Source organism: Homo sapiens, chromosome 2, assembly GCF_000001405.40.
Source record: "Homo sapiens chromosome 2, GRCh38.p14 Primary Assembly".
Classification (NCBI taxonomy): domain Eukaryota; kingdom Metazoa; phylum Chordata; class Mammalia; order Primates; family Hominidae; genus Homo; species Homo sapiens.
The window spans coordinates 151790891-151813754 of record NC_000002.12 but is presented as its reverse complement, the minus strand read 5'-3'; the positions used below and the strand labels follow the sequence as shown (position 1 = coordinate 151813754).

The window sequence follows — 22864 nt, the reverse complement described above, 5'->3', positions numbered from 1 at the left end:
CTTTTGATTATAAGGCATTTTAGACATAGTCATATCTTTTTATTTACACATTATTTCCCAAAGGAAATTTCAGACCTTTGACATTTGAGTGCTTCATTGCATAGACCTGTGAATTAAAAGACTGACCGTTGTTTTTGTAGTGTTCATTATTACAAGTTAATAAAGCATGGTTTATAAGTATATAAAGCTGACTTTTAAGTCATTAAGAAACCATTAAGTGTATCTGACAACTTGATTTCCTAACACTGCATTAGGCATTTAATCATTTTTTAATAAGGGAAGTTATGTATGATTATAAAGGTATATATGCTACTGTATACATATGCTATAGGTTTCAAATTCATGCCAACAGCCTGAAAATTAACAGTTTTATTAAAATACCTTGGAATAAAATGGGCCTTACAGTGATAAAGCCACCTATCAGTAAGCTGTCAAGTGAGAGGAGAGGTAAAGTAGCAGTTCTCTCATACATCTGCCTTTTGGTTGATGAAGTCTGAATAATTGAAAAGATCCAGAAAATCATAATAATTTATTTAAAAATTAAGATCTAGGTCCCAAAAATAAATAGTGCATGTTACTAATAGGCAGTCAGAACCAACTTGGGCATCATAAATGTTATCATAAAGTAAGTAAGTTAAATCTCCATCTGTTCCTGCTGATCTCTTGCTTTTGGGTGCTCACGGAGTTGAGGAAGAGCTGGGGTGGAGCTCAGTCCTGCACAACAATCACAAGTCTTTCATCGCACCTTCTGATACCAGTCTCATCATCAGTTTATGAAGGGGTTGTGCTTGCAGGTAGCAGGCGATACTTATGTAAGGAAGAGAGCTTGTTTTTAGATAGAGATTTATTCTTTCAGTTGGTTGAATTTTTTTTTAATTGATTTCTTTATCTTGTCACATTACTTTACTCCCATACCCGTGCCCTTTTAGGTGTTCAGATTGATATTAATAAATAATATCTACCTGGAAGTAATAAATTCAGGATCATATTGCATGTTTTTCTTGTTGATTTGTAGTGCAAATAGATAGATATAGGTCCATTAGCATTCAAGATACTAGTTTAGAAAACAGACATGCGTTATATATATTAGTTAGAATGTTAATATCATATTCTCTTTTCTCTTAAAAATTAGTAAATATATTAAAATCGATCAGACCTTTTGGCTTCACAATGTATAGGTAGCTCTGATTTTCCAACAATACCATAAGATTCCAATTTCTTGATATTAATAGCCTGTATGTCAAATAAACACATTATAAATTTTACAGATACCAAATTGTATAATCACTAATAATTTTTTTGTAATTATTTTAGTTTGTAATAGTTGTTGTGGACAGTACAGACAGAGAGAGGATTTCTGTAACTAGAGAAGAACTCTATAAAATGTTAGCGCATGAGGTAAGTAAGTAGTCTTTTTACATTAGATATGGGGAAGGGTATGGGAATCGATACTTTGTTTTCTAGTTTCTCATGAGGGTGCTATCAATTTCAAATTTTTAAAAATAATTAGTTATTTGCGGGCCACACTGCTCAATTACTCTGACATCTCCCAGTTTGGAAGTGTATCCAGAAGCAGCAGAAAGATTATGGAGTAAGTTGCAGAACTTTATTTCACTTATCCTAGGTACATTTGGTTTCACAATTTTCCTGGGCAAAAGTAATTTCTATAAGTGGCTTTCATTTTGCATTTTGAATAGATTAATTATACAGAGGATTATCATTGGAAATGAGATTTTAAAGTACCTGGGTGCTTAGCAATTCTTGATTGTTACTCAGCAGACTAATATTTAAATGTAATTGCTGTTAGGTTTCTCTGATATTGTCCCTTTGACTAAACAAAACTAGATGACTAGCCACATTTTCTTAGTCCTTGAAAAATAACCTGCCAGGCACAGTGGCTCACTCCTGTAATCACAGCACTTTAGGAGACTGAGGTGGGGGGATCGCTTGAGCCCAAGAGTTCAAGACCAGCTGAGCAACATGGCAAGACCCTGTCTCTACGAAAAATAAACAAAATTAGCCAGGTGTGGTGGCATGCACCTGTAGTCCCAGCTACTCGTGAGACTGAGGCGAGTAGATCGCTTGAGCCCAGGAGGTCAAGGCTACAGTGAGCTGTTCTTGCCACTGCACTTCAGCCTGAGTGACAGAGTGAGACCTTGTCTCAAAAAATAAAATTAAAAATAAATAAGTAGAAATAAAAATAGATTTAAAAATTAAAATTTTTTAAATAGAAAAATATTACGGTAACATAAATTTAAAAAACTGAATAATATAGTCAACTTGATAACTATAACATTATACTGTTTATATAGTATTTAGTAAAATTGATTATTTTTGGATATCTTATTGCAGATGCTACTTTCTCAACTCATTTATAGATAGGAATAGAAAAGTTAATATTTAGATATATAGAGTTTTTTATTTCAGTGGAATTTTTTGCAAAGCTTAGGAAAACACGGATATCTTTGTAGTGAAGTTTTATGTTAATTTTGTTATTGATTTGATGATTTGCTTTTGAGATTTGCTTTAAGAATTTTGTGTATTTCAGGCAACCTTTCAGGGCTTTAGGGAACCTAAGCTAGTAAAGTAGTTTTGTAAATTGAGGTTCCTCATTTCCTTATGACCACCAAGATGCACCTTTTCCTATTTTGGACTCTAATTCCAGCAGCTGTGTTTAAACCTCCTGGAGATTTACAGAAATACGTCTTGCCATTCTGTGTTCATTCGCCAGATTCATTGCTAGTTGGGATACAAGCAATAAGCCGTAAAAGAGGCAGAAGACAAAGGCTTTTTTTTGTTTGTTTTTTTTTCTTTTCAAATTCCTATTTTGCAAAAATGCAGCATTTTTCAGTTTATTCCAAAGGGTGGTTTTATGAAGACTTTGGAAAAAGAAAAACTGATACAAATGTTATTTGTCTCTGGACTATATCTTTTACTTTGTTGACAGGTAGTCTCCCTATCTGATTTTTACTCTAATTGGCCAATATGCAGCAGGATCACTATATGAAGAGCCCAGTAGTAGGGTTCAAAGTCTTTGATTTTTACTAGCTGGGGGCATTAACTTACATAGGTCACTTAACGTTATCTGTTATGGGTGACTACACTGGGGCCCAGAAAGGTTATGTGACTTGACTAGCTTTTTAAGAGCCAGGTTTTGAACTTGAGTATTCTCATTCAGACTCTTTATTAGCAGAAGTAAAAAGAAGACCTAAGTAGGGCCTAGTTGGAAAGTGAAAGGAGACTGAATGAGGAGATGACCAGAGAAGAAAGGAATTACAGATGAAGTTGGGAGTTTGAGCAAGGTACTCAGTAGGGTCAAGAAGAGCCAAACAGGCAAAATTCTGCAGAGAGACAAATGGATCAAAGAGTGAGAATGTGTGAGTGAAAAATAAATGTAGACATGATGTTAGTTGGATGTTTCTTACATACTACATAAATCAACAAAATCTTATTGTCATCACTGATAATGACTCTTTACATTATTACAAAATACAAAACTGTAAAAATTTTAAAATAATTTTCAAAGTTTTATCATAAATGAAGTATACAACTTTAGAACTCATTAATTTTAAAATGGTTCCAAACACCAAAGTCTGAAATTTTATTCAGAATGACTCAACTTCTAGGAGTTACCTTCACAAATGAAGTTTTTTTTTTTGTTGTTGTTGTTTTGATACAGAGTCTTACTCTGTTGCCCAGGCTGGAGTGCAGTGGCACCGTATCGGCTCACTGCAACCTCCATCTTCTGGGTTCAAGCAATTCTCCTGCCTCAGCCTCCAGAGTAGCTGAGATTACAGGCGCCCACCACCACGCCAGCTAATTTTTTTATATTTTTAGTAGAGACGGGGTTTTACCATGTTGGCCAGGCTGGTCTCGAACTCCTGACCTCAGGTGATCTGCCCGCCTCAGCCTCCCAAAGTGCTGGGATTACAGGCGTGAGCGCCCAGTCCCCAAATGAAGTTTTAAGAAACAAATTGACAACTATATATGGTATATAGAAGATGCTAAGTAAATGTGTCTTGCAATTGCTGTTATTCATCTCCTTGATAAAACTAAAATATATCTTAGACTAGAAATTTGTAGCAGAAGTGGTTTTAAAGTGTTTGAAATGGTTTATGTACAAAAGATCACCGTTGTTCACCTTATACTTTGACCTCTTGTTAAGTCACGTTGATGAACAGCCTTAATTTAATATATCTATTTTCTACTGTTCTAATATATACATATTTGGTTTTGAGGTTATATAATAAAAAGCAAATGAAGATTTTCTTCTCTTTCTAAATATGTAAAAATTGATAAAATAACTTCTTAGAAGTCAAGAACTCTAAATTAAAGTTTGAACCTTTTAGATCTAGAAAAACTGATTTAAGATATTTGGAGACCTTTTATTAAATGGCTTTGTTTTTTGTGTTTTTCAATTTTCAGTTCAGGGGCTTCTACAAATAATTTCATCATTAAGAGTGAATACAGATTACTTATAATAATATAAACCGTGTGTCCTAACTTGTGCCAAGTATTTGTCAGAAGGTTGTTCCTTCAACATGTCAACATTAGCAAACTTGACCTATATAAGACTTCAGCACACACTAGCAAGATGTACTGAAACTGAGAAGATAGGAAGTTAGGAATTAAATCCCATGGAAAGTCCATCTACTTATTGACTCAGCCACATAACAACTATTGATAATGGTTTCTTTGTGTTTTTTTGAGACAGAGTTTCACTCTGTTGCCCAGGCTGGAGTGCAGTGGCGCTATCTTTGCTCGCTGCAACCTCCACCTCTTGGGTTCAAGCTATTCTCATCCCTCAGCCTCCCAAGTAGCTGAGAGTACAGGTGTGCACCACTACACCTTGCTGATTTTTATATTTTCAGTTGAAACGGGGTTTCGCCCTGTTGGCCAGGCTGGTTTCAAACTCCTGGCTTCAAGAGATCCACCCACCTCGGCCTTCCAAAGTGCTGGGATTACAGGTGTGAGCCACCACACCTGGCTGATGAATGGTTTCATTTTCTGTTTAGGAGAAAAGAAAAAATATTTACTGTATATCCTTGATAATGACTATATGTATACAAGTTATACTTTATCTCTTCAAGTTTTTTGCCTTTGATATAGGCAGGTGAACTGAAATATAGGTGAAACTAGTTGAACATGAAATCTTAAAATTGCAAACATTGTAGCAGTATTCCTTTCTGACCATACTTAATGAGATAACTATATAAACTGTGGTAGCATTAATAGCTGCCATCCTGCAGAGGGCACTGTAATTAAAGTCAGTCTTGATTGTTATATAAATATTTTACATAACTCCTTTAACCAAATAAGAAATACAAATATACTACTAATGTTTTTATTTGCATCAGAAAGAATCATCAAAACTGTATTCTAACAAAAGTCATTTTGTATCTGCTGAAGATTTTATTTATTCAAACACATACATTATTGAAACCAAAATATCTCAGTAAAATCCCTAAGAAGACAAATGCCATTCAACAGTTGTGAAAACTTGCAAGTGTGGCACCAAAACCTTAATTTTATATCTCTTAATATGTAACAGGCAGAATTTTATGAGGGTTTCACTTGCTAATTGAGTACATCCTTCATGGATTCTTGGCCCAGTATCCATGTAGGGAATTTAGGCTATTTATTAACACCCTCAAATTGTACATAAACTTAAAAAAATTTTGTGTATATGCATATGTGTGTTTTGGGGGGAAAGATCTGTGATTTTGAACAGATTATCAAGGAAGTCCCTGGCTTTAAAACTGGCAGGTAGAGAGGAGTGGGGCAGGAAGAGACTAAGAACTTTTGGCCTGTTTAGTGAGTAAAACATTATACCAGTTATTTGGAGTGTGCACAATTACATTCGGAAAAGGGTTAATGCAGTAGGTGTCTTGCTCAGATCAGATACTCAGTAAAAGATATGAGGAACAAATTCAGAAAGCTTAAAGAACTTGCCTCTGAGTCATAGCATTGAAGTGATAGAACTTCTAATTGGGGAAACTTGATAAGTTTAATGCCACTCCAAGATGGCTGTATTACATATTCAAATCTAAGAAATCTTCATATACAATGACAGAAATTAGGGTGAATAGGATTGGTTTAGGATAGAACTTCAACTGAGAATTAAGCCCTAAGGTTTTAAGGCATACATTGTAATGAATTCATTTATTTCCTATGCAGCTAGAAGGTACTAGCTGTGTACATTATTGGGAGATTTGCAATGTAGTCACTCATCGTTTTCTTTGGAGCTTAATTCTCTTGTGGAATCCTGATTGGGAAAGGCTGGTTTAGGAGGTTGGAGGGAAGGAAATACATGCAAGAGAAATGATTTGAACAACATAGAGATGGCAGTGCCCAAAACTGTTTAGAGAGCAGTAGGATAGGTTGCTAATTACAGCAGAGTACTTATATAGGAGTGATGTGAGGTAAAGCAGAAAAGTATAGGCAAGATAAAATTTTGGAGAGCTCTCAAGTATTAGGCTAAAAGGTAGTTCTTAGCCATTTAAGCCTAATTTTGGATTTAGGGGGTGGGTGGTGTATATACTGGGAAACATGACTGTTAAATACAGCACTTAGGACCATAAAAAATTGTTGTCTGAGACTATAAGAAATATGTAAACACATACAAGTATAAAAAATGTGTTATCAGCCTAGGCACTGAGATGCTTTTATGTCACATAGTTGAGAAATTCTTGTTTACTAAGATTGTGAAAAAGATTCTGTTAATGAAGTTGAAAAATATGTGGAAAATGTATTGGCCTTTACAGTTTTATTTGCTTTAATAGGACCTAAGAAAAGCTGGATTGCTGATTTTTGCTAATAAACAAGATGTTAAAGAATGCATGACTGTAGCAGAAATCTCCCAGTTTTTGAAGCTAACTTCTATTAAAGATCACCAGTGGCATATCCAGGCATGCTGTGCTCTAACTGGCGAGGGGTAAGACATCTTCCTCTTAAATGTTATCGAACATTTATTTTGCTTAGTAACATGTATATCTTCTTTAAACTCCTAAATATTTAAGGCTATTGTGTATAAAACATCGTAAGGGACAGACGTAAGCTGTAGTTCATGTCTATAATCAGAGACTTTTTAGGGTGGTTCTGTAAATAGTAAAACAATATAAACATAATACACATAAACCTACTGAACATGGAAGCATGTAGCTGTTATAATTGCTATAGGAGCTCAGAGAAATGGGAGTATCAGTGAGAGCTGGAGAAGTTAGGAAATACATTTTACGATGATAGTGGAACTGAAGACCTGACATGTGCCGAGCATGTCCTATGTCTGGAGTGTTTTCCATATAGTGCTTCATTTAATCCCCATAACAGTCCTACAGAGTAATTGTTTTTAAGTGATATTTTCTGCATAAAGAAGCTCAAATCAAAGAGAATTCATGTCTGAGACTACTTTGGGTTTATTTACTGTTGGAACTGATGCACTTAAACAAAAGAAGGATTGGGGGAATTGGAGAGAGTGTAGCAATGATGGTCCTTGGTTCTGGAATGATAGATGTTGGAAGAGAAGTGTGTGCCTATAGTAGAAGTTTGCCCTGTCTAGCACCCAGAGATGAAAGTATTTCAAGAAGGAAGTGGTGTGGTCAGCATTGTCAAATCTAAGGTCAAGGACCAGGAAGATGGAGAGGATGCCATTCAATTAACAACAAATGAGTACATTCAACCAGTTTGTCAGAACAAATTCTGTGCATTGAGAAAGTGGGCATGAGGTAAGTGTAGTTTAAAGAGGAGGTAGATTTTAGGAAGCAAAAATAGCTTTGTAAACTCTAGAGTGTGGCAAGAAGAGGAAGGAAAGATAAAATAGAGGAGGTTGGAAATAGGATAAAAAGCTAAAAGGAGGACCAAACTAAAGTACAATTTTTGTTGCTGTTTTTCCAAAATATGGTGCATCTGTATATATAGTCATGCACCCTATAATGATGTTTTGGTCAGTGATAGACCACATATATGACAGTGGTCCTATAAAATTAAAATACTATATGTTTACAATAACTGTTCTATTTTTAGATATGTTTCAGTACAAAAGTTCTTACTATTGGGTTATGGTTACCTACAGAATTTAGTACAGTAACATGCTGTATAGGTGTGTAGCCTGGGAGCAACAGGTTGTATGGCACAGAGCCTAGGTGCATACTAGGCTATACCATCTAGGTTTGTGTAAGTACACTCTGATGTTCACACAATGATGAAATCACCTGACACATTTCTCAGAATGTATCCCTGTCATTAAATGATGCATGATTGCATTTAAAAGCAGAGGAAAAGAGAAATAAGCGGTGAATTCTAAATAGAAGTCTTAAGTTTGGGGTTGAGGTTCTTGAGGTGTTAGGAAAGGACAAAAGCATGGGGTATAGATGAATTAGCTGAAGTGGGAGAAATTGTTTTCCTTTCAAGACCACGATGAAGGGTGAACCAAATATAACGAATTATTGAAGGCAAATCTTAATAGAAGGCACTGTTACTGACATTTGGAAGAGCATAATTAGAACCTTAAAAAAGGTTTTTTAATTAAAAAAAAACTGTTCATTAAAAAAATCACAGATAATACCAATTATCCATGTATTCATTTAAGTAAAAATATGTTAAGTATTTCTTTGTCAAATAGTCTAATATATATATCTTTGTCAAGCAAAAGCATGGATTTATAATATTTGTCAATAAAGACACGTCATCTAGGATTGACATAAGATTTAATTTATATACTTTGATAATTGTATGGAAAATGTATCATTAGTATAGATATTAACTCAATTTCATTTTAAAAAGAGGTAAAGCAATTTTGTTTTAAAAATAGGAAAATAATAGATGAGTTTGGTTTTGAGAGAAATGTTCTGTTTTTCTTTTATAGTTCAGCTACCTTGATCTAAATTATTGGTTTTAGTATTGATTAGCGTTTTGATTCAGTGGATTGGAGATCACAAACTTCAGTGTGTGGCTTCATTTGACTCCTACTTTTCCCATTTGCTAACATTGCCAACCCTGGGTTTCCTCTGTAACATTGGAAGGATTCTGATCTCAGTGTTGTAAAGATTAATTAAGAGAATGGATATTAAGTTAGTTTCTAGTTTGCTATTAGGTAACTACTGTTCATTTATCAGTTTGGAGTTAAACAATCTCTTCATCTATTATTTTTGTGTACTGTTTCCTATCAGTAGTTTAAAAGTAATGAATCTAGTCACAGGAGAAAAGTATGGGACAACCACCCCAAAACAACCATTTATTTACCTCATTGCCATCTTTTTTCTATTTGTGTCTTCTTTTACGTTATTAGACTCATACTTAACAAAACTCTGAATTGAAAAAAATTTAATATTGTAACATAGTTTTTTATGTCTGCAAAAGCTTGTCATAGATAATAGTTAATACTTATAACAGTTCTTCATTTTATTGCAACTTAATGTGTACAACCATTTCTCTCTTGCTCAACTTTTAGTTTCTTTTCCCACAGTGAACATCGTTTTCTATATTTTGGGTTATGTTCAATTACCAGTTGTTCAGTGATAACTGATGTTACTGATAAGAAATTTTATTGCCTTCAAAAGTTTTACATACTTACATTTTATAATATTTATGTAACATGTGTATACTTTGTTTTAATAACTACAATATATATTTTGTTGAATATCCTGCCATTTTTCATTTATATCATGAGCATTTTATCCTATTATAAAATGGTTTTATTTCCTCCATTTCCTGGTGATGAGAATTATGAAATCATTTTTTAAAGGAAAATTTTAAATATTTCATCATACAAATGTCTTGTAATTTATTTTTTTCTGTATTTTTAGACAAAAATTATTTTCCTATTAAAAGTACTTTAATGAACAGTTTTGTATGTAAGTCTATGTTTATGTCTGATTTTCTTTTTTGGGATACATTTCTAGAAGTAGAAAAAAGGATGCAGAGTATTGATATTTTAAATATTTTTGATACGTATTGCCAGATATATTTTTGACATATGTTGCTTTCTGTGGGCACTCATTGCATAATTATAAAGCTTTTTTAAAGTGTCAGACAGCGTTCTGGGTGCTAGAGATATAACTGAACCAAAAGAGCACAGATGTATTAGCTGGGTGTGGTGGCACACGCCTGTAGTCCCTGCTGCTGGGGAAGCTGAGGTGGGGAGATCGCTTGAGCCCAGGAGGTCACGGCTGCCATTGATTGTGCCATTGCACTCCAGCCTGGGTGACAGAGTGAGACCCTGTCTAAAAAAGAGGAAAGACAAAAAAAGCACAGATGTATTGTGTATGAGAATATGGCTTCACTGCAGCAGCCCAAGCACTGAATATTATTGATTTTTAAATCTTTGTTATTTAGCTAAATGAAAAATGCTCTCTTTTAGTTTGCTGTTCATAGTTTGCTGCTCATAGCTTCTTAGTTCAGAATTTAATCAAATGATTTTGTTTTCTTTATAGATTGTGCCAAGGACTTGAATGGATGATGTCACGACTTAAGATTAGATGATCTCTACTGACCTCTTCTCATAGATTTTGTATAAATGAAGTGCTGGACTTTACCTGAAAGCTGCAAAAATTAATGGTTTAGATATATTTATAATAAACTGATTTAAACTTTTTCTATAAGAAGAAAAATTAAGACCACTTATTTGAAAACAAAGATGAAGTCTCACCTTCCAGTTTGCTTTCTCATTAGTTTTTTCCAAAGTAAGTTATTGAAGCTGTGATTGACATTTTTCTCATAATGAATCCTCTCAGGACATTGTGTAGCCTATGGTAAGTACAAAGGGAGAGGAAGACATTTTGAATTTTAAGAGCTTTATTATCAGTTTAACCCTCCCTAGTTGAATGTTATTTTCTTCTTGTTCCATTAAGTCAGAATACAAATCAGCACAGATATTCGAATGTTTCCAATATTTTAAAATGTAATGTTACTTATGAAAAGTATTTTGCTTAAGGTTGTGTGTGTATTGTGTATATACCTCAAGTTCAAGTTAATGGCATTGATTTATGTTCCAGACAAAAATAACACAAATAATAATATCCTTCGTTATAACCACAATGAGATAAGTATTGGCATTAGTGTTCAGTGCCATTTTATACTTTCTCTCTGTGTTCTCTGTATTGTACTAACCAACCTCCCAAATCGCTGAGCTGCTTGTTTAAAAAAAAAAAAAAGGAAAAGGAAAAAGCATGACATTGTGTATCGATTTTTTGTTGTTGACCAAAATCACACACATGGAAACATGTAATTCAACAGAGTGGGAAAGCTAGCAGATTCTTGGCTTAGTATTACTAATAGGCAGGATTGTACAATGAGCAACTATCAGATTATTCCTTTCAGTGGTTCTTATGGCATCTAAATTACTGAATAAATTATTAATCCATTAATCAGTGAATCAAATTATGATTACAATTATCAAATGAATGCTCAGCATTAATTGAAAACTGTTTTGTGAAACATGTCTACCCAGAAAAGTAGCATTCTATAAATACTATTAAACAACTTAGCTATATTATTTTTAAGTATTAAATTATATGTCAAGCAGTTAAAGTGAATTTCAGAGTAAAAGTAAGGCATGTTTCTGAGCAACATTGATAATTTCTTAATTTGCAAATTTCTTCTTATTTTGGTACTTGGAATATAGTGTGAGATTTTTTATTTCTAAATTTTGTTGTATCTTCTATTACATAAATGCATTGACAATTATAAAATGCAAGTGTTTTTTGAATGATTTTAAGAATTTGGCTTAAAAATTGATTGATACAACGTATTATTTGTACTAAGAAGTAACTTGACCCAAAACACCTTTTATGTTTGCTTAGGGTATATTTTTTCAGTGTCTGAAAGTCAAAGGTATTCCTGTCACAACTGTAAACAAACTTATCCTAAATGTGTTAAAACATATTCTTGGGTACTCTATTTATGTATCTTTCATGCCTTGAAAATCTGAAGGTTAATCCAAACTCACATGTTTTAGCATATTTGAGAAAAAAAAACTACCTTCAATATCAGCCTTTTAAATTTCATGAAGATTTTGGTGAGGAATAATAGTATATAGTTTAAGTATTGACAAAACTTTGAAAGTTTCTTTCTTTAAAATGGGAAATACTCAATATCTAAATCCAGGTCAGGCATGGGATATCAGTATTTAACATTGGATGTTTTATGTTTTATATTTATAATGTTCAAAATGCAAGCATAACATTTAATATTTGTCCACATGGTTTTACAAAAGTAAATCTTAAATTACTAAGCTTTTCCCATATGTTCTCGTACTTTCTCAAATCCCTATAAAGAATTACTTGTTATCTATTAAAAATCTCCTTTACCCAAATCTGTATTATGGTTTCGCCAGACAAATATTATGTGATGTAGCCCAGAAAATCCACACCTTTTGTCCTTTTTATGTTTTAATTTGAATAATCATGTGCTTAGTCCCTTGGATTACTGCCACATCAGTTTAACACGATATCAGCACATTCCCTTGTCATCATCAAGGTGTTGGCTCAGATTTATTCTTAATTGGATGTTTAAAGCATGTACTACCTTGTTACAGTTGGTTTAGTGTAGTGGATTATTGACATGACATCATGAGAAGATGTGTAATTTTATACCACATTTATAAAACATGATTTTGTTTTCTACCCTTCAAGGTAAACATTAAAAATAAGGTGGTACTTGTGTACTTGTACATAAAACCAAAATTATAGTTGGGAAAAAAATAAATTTATATATGAAAATGTCAAAATCATTTTAAAAGTATTATTTTCAAATAAAATGGAGAAGCTGGTGAAAAGTCATATTGGCAATTTTTATGTAGTTTAAGTGGAATTAAGCAGAGGGAGATGCTTTTGGGTTTTTAATATGCCACTTCTGAGTGAAAACATCTCGTGGAGTCATTGTGTTCAGCTCTGAGAAGAACAAAGATTCATAGTTCTGTACATGTGGCTGGATTTAAATATCCTGTTTTTGATACTAATTTTGAAAGTCATGTAACTTCTTTTGATATCTGGGCAAAAGTAACCATATGCTATAAGCATTTGAATATGTTTAATTTTATCATAATAGCATCTGTAAAAGTACATCTTACACATTATATAGAGGGTTCTTGTTTGAAATTTTCAGTTCTCTTTATCTTCCCAGTACCTCTTGGTCCTCATAATGGGCAAAGGATACAACGAAGGCAGGTTGTATAGGGGTTATAGTGGGGAAGTGGATAGGGGATTCATTTTCTTATGTGACATTTTGCCTTAAGAATATAAAAGTGCTTTAGCACTGATGGCTGGCATTTTTAATATAGGCAGTGAAAGTGACTTTAGAAGCATGGGATGAAATAGAGGGAAGAAGAGTTTTTATTTTCTGGCCTTTAAAAAGTGCCTAGTAGGTCATTTGAGACCCAGAGAAATGCACAGAGCTTGAGCAAAGGCATGAAGTCCCTGACATTGTTTTCCTTTTTGTCTCAGCATATAGTATTAAGATGCCTAGAAATAGGACTCTATTGTTCCCTCTTGTATAGGCACTTTACATTTCTTGTCACTACAGCAACCACATACAGTACAGACAACCTCCAAACCTGTTTATATTAGTGTAAATAGAAAATCTATAGACAACTTTCTAGTTTTCTCTGGAGGCATTTTTGGGAATGTACGTGTAATAGGCTCTGCTTTGTATACAGGAGATAATACCACATCATCGGTTATCTCCAAACTCCAGTCTTCTCTCAACTGCCCAGTTGTATGTTGTCATCAATCACTTTTTCAAGGCTGGGTAGAGACAAGTTTCTCCTCGTAACTTTGACCTCTCCCACTCTCCAAATGTAATCTGGACCTCATTGCTTTCAAGGTCAGCTTCCCCATAGCTCAGGTATCCTTTGCTCTCCTGTATCTTCATTTACTATTAGTGAAGAGATCTCTGTCCTGGAGGTTATTCTAAACTTTCTTTGTAACTATTGTTATAGACAATGGTTTCCAAACCAGTGGTTTCTATGTAGCTTTTCTAGTTCCTTGCTATCTTCTCACCACTGGCTTGAGGTAGTGATTTGGACTTTGCTCATTAGAGAGCATTATCAGAGATGTGGAGTCCATCAGAAGACCAGCTTGCAGTGTGTATAGCATATAGATGCCAATATTAGAATTCTTTAAATTATATTTAACATTTTCATGCTTCTTAATTTAACTTCACATGTTGGGAAGTAGATTCAGAAAGATAGGAGAAATACCCAGACTCTACCACTTCCGTGAGCTACTAGTTAGGCATGGGCAGGATTAAGTTTTATGTGTATTATCTTCCCACTACCAAGAATGGTTATGTTTCACAGAATACCAGTTCAGTTTGATTTGGAAAAAGATGCCAAACCAAATTTATATGTAGTCTATAATCTAAGGGCATTCTTGAAACTATTGCCCACATCCCATTTTTTTTTTCATGTTTACTTACAAAACAGAGATAAACATTAGATGTCTAAAGGAGTTAGTAATGAAAAGCCTATCCTTAAAAAATAAACCTGTTGAAATGGGCTTTAAAGACATCGAAATAATCACTTGTCATGCATTGACTGTAAATGCAGATAGAGAAATATGTCTTTGAAGCTCCACTTACACAAAAATAAAACTTGTATATCATGCTCCCTCAAAGAATGTGCGATAGATTATTTTAAGACCATGATAATAGAGTAAAAAGGAAAGAAAGCCAGAAATTACAATTTTGGATGCTAAAAAGTAACTTTCTAGTTAACCCTAAAGTCCTGTCAGATTGTGAAGAAATGTTCCAGGATACACTTGGATTAGTTATGCAGTATTTCTTATCAATGTCTAGCCCTTGTGTATTGTTCTGAAAACTAAAGTTTAAATCTTTATGCTGTTGCTTGCTAGATATCCTGTTCTTTGGTAGAAAATTCCCATAGTCTGTACTCAAGAAGTGCCTAAAAATGGATTTGTGTTGATTTTAAGCCCATCTAATAAATTATATGTATTTTCTATGGTATCGTATGGCTTGTCTTAACTGATGACACAGCCTAGAGGATTTCTGTCACAATTTGTGCTTTATTTGAATACAAAGTCTTTTTTTTTTTTTTTTTTTTTTTTTTAGACAGAGTCTCACTTTGTCGTCCAGGCTGGAGTGCAGTGGCGCGATCTCGGCTCACTGCAACCTCTGCCTCCTGGGTTCACGCCGGTTGTCCTGCCTCAGCCTCACAAGTAGCTGGGACTGCAGGCGCCTGCCACTACGCCCGGCTAATGTTTTGTATTTTTAGTAGAGATGGGGTTTCACCGTGTTAGCCAGGATGGTCTCAATCTCCTGACCTCGTAATCTGCCCGCCTCAACCTCCTAAAGTGGTGGGATTACAGGTGTGAGCCACCGCGCCTGGCCTAAATAAAAAGTCTTGAAATGGAAGATATTCACCTAACCCTCAACAAACCATGATGTAATGAAGCACGAATCACACCATTTTGTCTCTTTCCTAATTCAAATAGGTCCCTGGCATTAGTTCATGCCGAGACTAGAAAACTGAACCCTAGTACTGTTTTTTAAAACAGTTTTAACAGAAAATTAAACTGTATGTTTGAAATCATAAGTAAAAGTTTGTTGCTTGCATAAGAGTAGCCTCTTGATTCTCATAGTGGTAATTTTGTGTCATATCATTTAGATGTTGAACCATTTCATTTGTGCATGTGTATATGTGCCCAAATTCATCCTCTTTGTTTAGAATCTGCTTACAAATAAAACTAATAGAATCTGAATACATTTATCATATATTCTTCCAGGGTTTTTCTTAACTGACTATAGAGAGTGGCTGTAAGTTCTGGGGCAAAGCTTGATTGTATTTTCAGTGATGTATAGTTACATTGTTTCATGTTAAAATCATCGTGCATGGAAAGTGAAATGTGCGTATGATTTTAAATTATTGTAATATGTACTATACCCTTCCCCTAAACTTCTTTCATTGATGATACACAGAATTCCTCTATTTTTGCTTGAAAATAGTCCTTTAGATTGGAGTAGCCTTTTCTTAGATCCCTCTATGGTTCCATGAGATGAGGTGATACCTGCAAAGCACTTTTAAAGATATTTTTTTAGGCTAATGTCCAAGATACAGCATTGAGGAGGCAGCTATGTCTAATGAGGGCTCTCTTGTTTGCTAGAGATGAGAGAAATGTATACTAATCATTTTAATTTGTACTTAAAATACATTTTACTAATCATATTGATTTTAAATATGACAAATTCTTCTAGTAGATACTAATCTTTCTTGTTTATCATATTGTCCTAGAGAAGCCTAGGTAAAAATGGGTTCCACCTAGTCTGTTTGTATAACACCTTCCCCCGTCCCCTCTCCATCCCTGCCAATTGGGCTCTATGCATATTGACAAGCAAATAAGAAAACCTTAGGTTTCTTGTATTTGAATTTCCAAAACAATAAAAGGTTTTGACTCAAGATTTGCATTCAAGAAGAGGCAGAAATTTTGTCTTATCTTTTTATCATTTTGTGAACTTGTGTTTCTCTGTATGCTTAGAAAATTTTACACACAAGGAATGTTTGAAAAAGTGAGAATTTTAGAGTGCTTGGGTGGTTTTTATTTGGTCAGTGCTGATGTGTTAGGTGTTTAGGGAAATAATGCTTCAGGACCTTTTTGACAACACAGCTTCATGAATGACTGGGGGATATTTATGTTTGTGCTGAGAAAAGGGAGGGAGTGGGCAGGTTGGAGTGGGGACCTTTCCATTGAAAGCAGTGCAGTCAGCTGTTTCGTAGATGCATTTTTTCTTTATGCTTGTAACATTGTTCTTGTGTCCATAATTGACTGAAATGTCAAGCTCCAGGAATGCAAGGCATTTATCAGGTGACCAGAAGTAGAACCTTGTTGATTATGAAATGGAAGAATAATGTCAAGGTAGTGGGGGTAAAATGACAAATGAGATTTTACTGGTGAATTTCCATGCTTAGTATGTACATTAACCTCTTTTTAAGTTGCATGTTAATCTGGTATAACGTATTGTGTCTGGTTTATGCTTTGAGTAAAAAGGAAAAAAAAAGACTTGAGTTACAATTGTTACTCTATTATGTACTATTACATATACCTTTTCTTTTAGAAAGGGTTAATTATAATTACTATTCACACCTCTGTGTTGTCAGTGTTTTTATTCTGGTTTATTCTCTAAACATACAGATTCAGTGTTGGAAAGACTGGGATCCACATGGTAATTGAAAAGGTATGACAGCTGCATTGTACAAATGACAGAAAGATTGTCTTGATCTTCTCTAGGAAACTTTTCTGGCACTTGGTCAATTTATAGAGTGCTCTCTATCTTGTATTTCTGAATGTTAGAATTGGAAATGAGCCTGACAAATAATGATCAGTTTGCATAGTTGATTTCTTTTAAAATCTGAGAAAAGTTCAGTCATTTAAAATGAATATTATTAAAGCGAACATTCATGAGCATAGTTGATAGTAAACAGAAGAAAAAAGGGAAAAAAGCAGGGAGAGAGGAGTCAGCCCCAGTGACATGCTGACTTGAATGTTGTGTTTGTCCCCTCCGCTAGAATGTAAGCCCCAGGATGGCAATTATATCTCTCTGTGCTGAACACAGTGCCTGGTATGTAACAGGTGTTCAATTTATATGTGTTGACGAATGAATGAATGGACTACTAACGTTTTTGTTGTTTTTTTCTACCTCTTTTGTTCTCATAGGTAGGTTTTTTTTTTTGACCTATGTGATTGCAGCATACTGCCTCGTTTAATTCTTACGTAACACTTACCTCAATTCTCATTTAATTCTGCCTAACTTCAAAAGAGTTTTTAGGTGACTGTATGTTTTTCTCATTCATTCTTTCAGTAGAAATAGCACTTATTTCCTTAAAAATGGTCTAAAAGCATCATGCAGTGGCAGATATATACAAATTTTATGTATTTGAAATCTGTGTGGGCCTACATCAAGGAATGTAAGTAACATACCAGAGTTTGTTGTCAGCATCTGCAGATACTGAAATAGTAAATGGTATACCAGCTTTTTTGGAAAAACAGCTGTGTCATTTTATTCATCTTTTATGCTTGTTCTTCATTTTTTAATATCTGGAATATCCCCTTTTTGCTAGTAAATAACTTTTGTCCCATGAAATTGATGAGATTTTCACAACATTAGAATAACCTCTAACAGTCCTTTTGAATGTGTTCCTTATGATTGATTACCACCCTTTTGGGATTCCATGAGTTGGGATGCCTAGGTGACCCATTATTTTCATCATTACATACTTTGCATTCTAGCCAGTTATTCTATACCAAAATAGATGTTTACTGAAAAAATCTTTTTGAAACAATTCCAATATATTTAGATCCCCAAATTATATTCTACTGTATTTCCTATATTATTACAAATAACATTGCAATGGCCATCTACTTAGTGTGTTTTTTCATATTTAAAATTATTTCTTCTGGCTGTAATCTCAGGTGAAACTACTGGATTAAATGGTAGGATGGGATTTGAGGGTGCCTATTTCAAATTTTCACTATATGTTAAACAACAAAACCCTTTCCGATTTAATAGAGAGATAAGCATATTGTTATATTTTGCACCTATTTAGTTATTGAGACTATTTTTCTTTGCTGTTTTAATACCCTCTGAATTGTTCTTTTGCTTTATTCATTTATTATAATCTTGGTGTTCTTGTGAATAAATTAAATTCTTAAAACAGTAAATATAAGTATCATGTGCTAACCAATTTCACCACTGGAGCTCTGTTTAAATAGTGAATATATTATCTTTTGTCATGTTTTTGCAGATGTGTGTGCAAAACACATCCTAGTATACTGCTTAAATTTTTATAATTATCTTTTCAGCATATAAAGTGGTGTGTTTTTTGAGACAGAGTTTCACTCTGTCACCCAGGCTGGCGTGCAATGGTGTGATCTTGGTTCACTGCAACCTCCGCCTCCCAAGTTCAAGCAATTCTCCTGCGTCAGCCTCCCGAGTAGCTGGGATTACAGGCATGCATCACCATGCCTGGCTAATTTTTTTGTATTTTTGGTAGAGACAGAGTTTTGCCATCTTGGCCAGGCTGGTCTCGAACTCCTGGTCTAAAGTGATCTGTTCATCTCAGCCTCCCAAAGTGCTGGGATTACGGTTGTGAGTCACTGCACCTGGCCTAAAAAATTACAGCCAGGCTTGGTGACTCACACCTGTAATCCTAGCACTTTCAGAGGCTGAGGTGGGCGGATCACTTGAGGTCAAGAGTTTGAGACCAGCCTGTCCAATATGGTGAAACCCCCTCTCTACTAAAAATACAAAAAATTAGCTGGGTATGGTGGTGCACGCCTGTAATTCTAGCTACTTGGGAGGCTGAGGCATAAGAATCGCTTGAGCCTGGGAGGCAGAGGTTGCAGTGAGCCAAGATCACACCACTGCACTCCAGCCTGGATGATAGAGTGAGACTCTGTCTCAAAAAAAAAAAAAAAAAAAAAAAATCAGCCTTGTGCAGTGACTCATACCTGTAATCCCAGCACTTTGGGAGGCCAAGGCGGGTGGATCACCTGAGGTCAGGAGTTCAAGACCAGCCTGGGCAACGTGGTGAAACCTCGTCTCTACTAAAAATACAAAAATTAGCTGGGCACGGTGGCACGTGCCTGTAATCCCAGCTGCTCAGGAGGCCGAAGCAGGAGAACCGCTTGAGTCCAGGAGGTGGAGGTTGCAGTGAGCCAAGATTGTGCCATTGCACTCCAGCCTGAGCAACAGAGCGAGACTCCATCTCAAAAAAATAAATAAATAAAATTTTTAAAAAATTACATAAGATATACATGACTCTTTTGAGTGAAAATCAGAAAAGAGACATAAGTCAAATTGAGATAACCGTTACCAACACTTTGGGACATATAGCAGGGTTTCAGTTAGCAGTGGATGACATACACGGTGGTGGTCCTGTAAGATTGTAATGGAGCTTAAAAATTCCTATCACTTAGTGATGTTGTAACTGTTGTAATATTGTAGCACGGTTTGTTTTTAAAATAAATTTAGCCTAAGTGTAGGGTGTTCATAAAGTCTACAGTACTGTACAGTAACGTCCTAGGCCTTTACTTTCACTCACCACTGACTCACCCAGAGCAACTTCCAGTCCTGCAAACTGCAGTCACATTAAGTGCCTTATACAGGTGTACCATTTTTTTTATCTTTTAAAGAAATTTTGTATAAATTTATGGGGTACAAGTACAATTTTGTTACATCTATAGGTTGCATAGTGGTGAAGTCAGAGCTTTTAGTGTATCCATCACCCAAGTAACATATGTTGTACCTACGTTATGTTTAGATACACAAATACATAACCGTTGTGTTAGAATTGCCTACAGTGTTCAGTACAGTAACGGGCTGTACAGGTTTGTAGCCTAGGAACAATAGGCTATACCATGTAGCTATACCATCCAGGTTTGCATACATAGACTCTATGATCACCCAGTGATGAAATCACTTGTAATGCATTTCTTAGAACAAATCCCCATCCTTATGCAACAAATGAGTATACATTTCTTAGTTTGTTTTGAATACAGAATTCCAAAAACTTCTTTATTTTTCCATGATATACTGTAAACATCATTTACATATAAAACATTTTAATGGATATATTGTGTTTGCTGTTTGGACATGACATAATTTATTTAACCAGTCTAATGTTGATGTACATTGTTGTTCCTTATTTCTTACCATTGCAGTAATTTTACTGTAGTTAACATTTGGATTTATTTTTCATAGAATGAATTCTCACAAGTCCAATCGCTGTGTCAAAGCATATGGCCTTTTAAAAGGCTTTGGTAGCCTGTTGCCTAATTGTCTTCCGAAAAGATTCCCCACATCCTGGTCAATTCTTCAGCATATACACGGCCATCTCTATATTAAGACACTTTATATTAAGATTTGTAAACCTGTTGACTACTGTCACAGGCCACCACCACTCTGGGCATCTTCAGGTCATGCTACATGTTCACCAGTCCTTCCAGCAGTGGGCAGTGCAAAGCTTCCCTCCGCCCACAAGGTTTCTGTGATCTTTAGCCTTTATTGTGCAGTTTACTTGTTAACCGGCTTATAATGTATTCAGCCTATGCTAATCATTGACTCCTTTTGGGAAGGGTAGAAGGTAAAAGATGTATACAATCTCTCAGCTGACCTTTTTTTAATGTTGGGGAAGAATAATGAACAACTTTTATTATCTACCATAGACGGCCAGTCTTCTGCTTCTAGGATGCTCTCCCACCAATGTGTCCATCTATGCTGTCAGCCCTAAATGCCAGTCCTGTGTAGGAAGTCCTGTGTTCATTCAGAAAAGTCACCCAGTGTCCATCCATTTATGTCCATCATATTAAAAACAGTTGAGTTATATGATAAAACATGCTACCATTAAATATTTTAACAGATTTAAATAATATGAGGAAATTATTAATGGTTGTGACATGTTAAACAGGATAAACAATTTTTTTATAATATAAACTTTTACATCTATCATCTGAATTATGCGAGAACAAAAAACATAGAAAAAAGATAGGAAAGTACCTTGGGAAGCTGAGGCCGGAGGACTGCTTGAGCCCAGGAACTCAAGATCAGCCTGGGCAACATGGCGAAACCCTGTCTCTACAAAATGTTTTTTAAATCTAGCCAGACATGGTGACAGGTACCTTATAGTCCCAGCTGCTCAGGAGGCTAAGGTGAGAGCATCACTTGAGCCCAGGAGTTCAAGGCTGCGGCGAGCTGTGTTTGCACTCCAGCCTAGGTGTCAGAGTGAGACTATGTCTTTAAAAAAAAAAAAAAGAAGAAAGAAATGTATTATAACATTAGGAGTTGTAGGCGGCAACATTACAACCAGTATTTTTCTGATTACGATTTTGTATGTTACAGATATTCTATATTGAGCGCATTATACCAATAATCAGAAAACATTGCTGAATCATTTTGTCTTTAAAGAATCATCTAATAGGGATGGGAAGGAATACAAAAGTTGTATTAAGTAAATGGGATGAAGCTCTCAGTTCAGAGATCAAGATGATTGGTAAGTGGAATACTATGCAGCCATAAAAAGGAACAAAATAATATCCTTTGCAATGTGGCTGGAGGTTGTTATCCTAAGCGAATTAACATAGAAACAGAAAACCAAATACCACATGTTCTGACTTATAAGTGGGAGCTAAACATTGGGTACTCATGAACATAAAGATGGCAGCAATATTGGGGACTATTAGAGGGGTAAGGGAAAGGGGGCCAAAGGTTGAAAAGCTTTATTGTACTATGCTCAGTGCCTCGGTGATGGGATCATTTATGCCCCATACCTCAGCTTCATGCAATACACTCAGGTAACAACCTGCACATAAATCCCCTGAAATTAAAATAAAAGTTGAAATTAAAAAACAACAACAACAACAACAACAAAAGGTGATTGGTAAAAATTCACTGATGCAATGCCATTTGCAACCTTCAGTGCAAGTCTGATTTTGACAGAGTTCTTACCAATTATTGCAGATGTAAAGAGATTACCTTTTTAGCTTATGCCTTGATATTATGTGTTTTGCTTTAGATGGTTTGGTGGTTGGTTGGTTTGTGGGATAGGTTCTTTTTGGCTGTGTAGTAATGACATCAAATGCCCGCAGAGAATTAGTTGTAAATGGTAATGGTCTTTTTAAATGGTTTAACTGCTGTACTCAAAATACTCTTCAACCTGATCTGGTGTCCTAAAAGTTTAGTACTTCTAATAAGATCTAACATGTGGTTGCATTTGTTATAAATGCCAAAGTTATATTTAAAAACACCCAAAGGGGCTGGGTGTGGTGGCTCACACCTGTAATGTCAGCACTTTGGGAGGCCCAGGCAGGAGGAGAACCTGAGCCCAAGAGTTTGAGACCAGCCTGGGCAACATAGTGAG

The 22864-nt window shown here is 35.1% G+C and overlaps 1 protein-coding gene across 3 annotated transcripts in view; it reads left to right on the top strand.

Annotated features, from left to right (window-relative positions):
• Positions 1 to 14958, top strand: part of ARL5A (ARF like GTPase 5A) — a 29625-nt gene extending 14667 nt beyond the window's left edge. For all 3 annotated transcript variants that reach the window (NM_177985.3, NM_001037174.2, NM_012097.4), the window contains exons 4-6: positions 1315 to 1398; positions 6783 to 6934; positions 10431 to 14958. In NM_177985.3, the coding sequence (NP_817114.2) occupies positions 1315 to 1398; positions 6783 to 6934; positions 10431 to 10479 (285 nt within the window). In that variant the 3' untranslated portion in view covers positions 10480 to 14958. The remainder of the gene's footprint in view (positions 1 to 1314; positions 1399 to 6782; positions 6935 to 10430) is intronic.
• The last annotated feature ends 7906 nt before the right edge of the window (positions 14959 to 22864 follow it).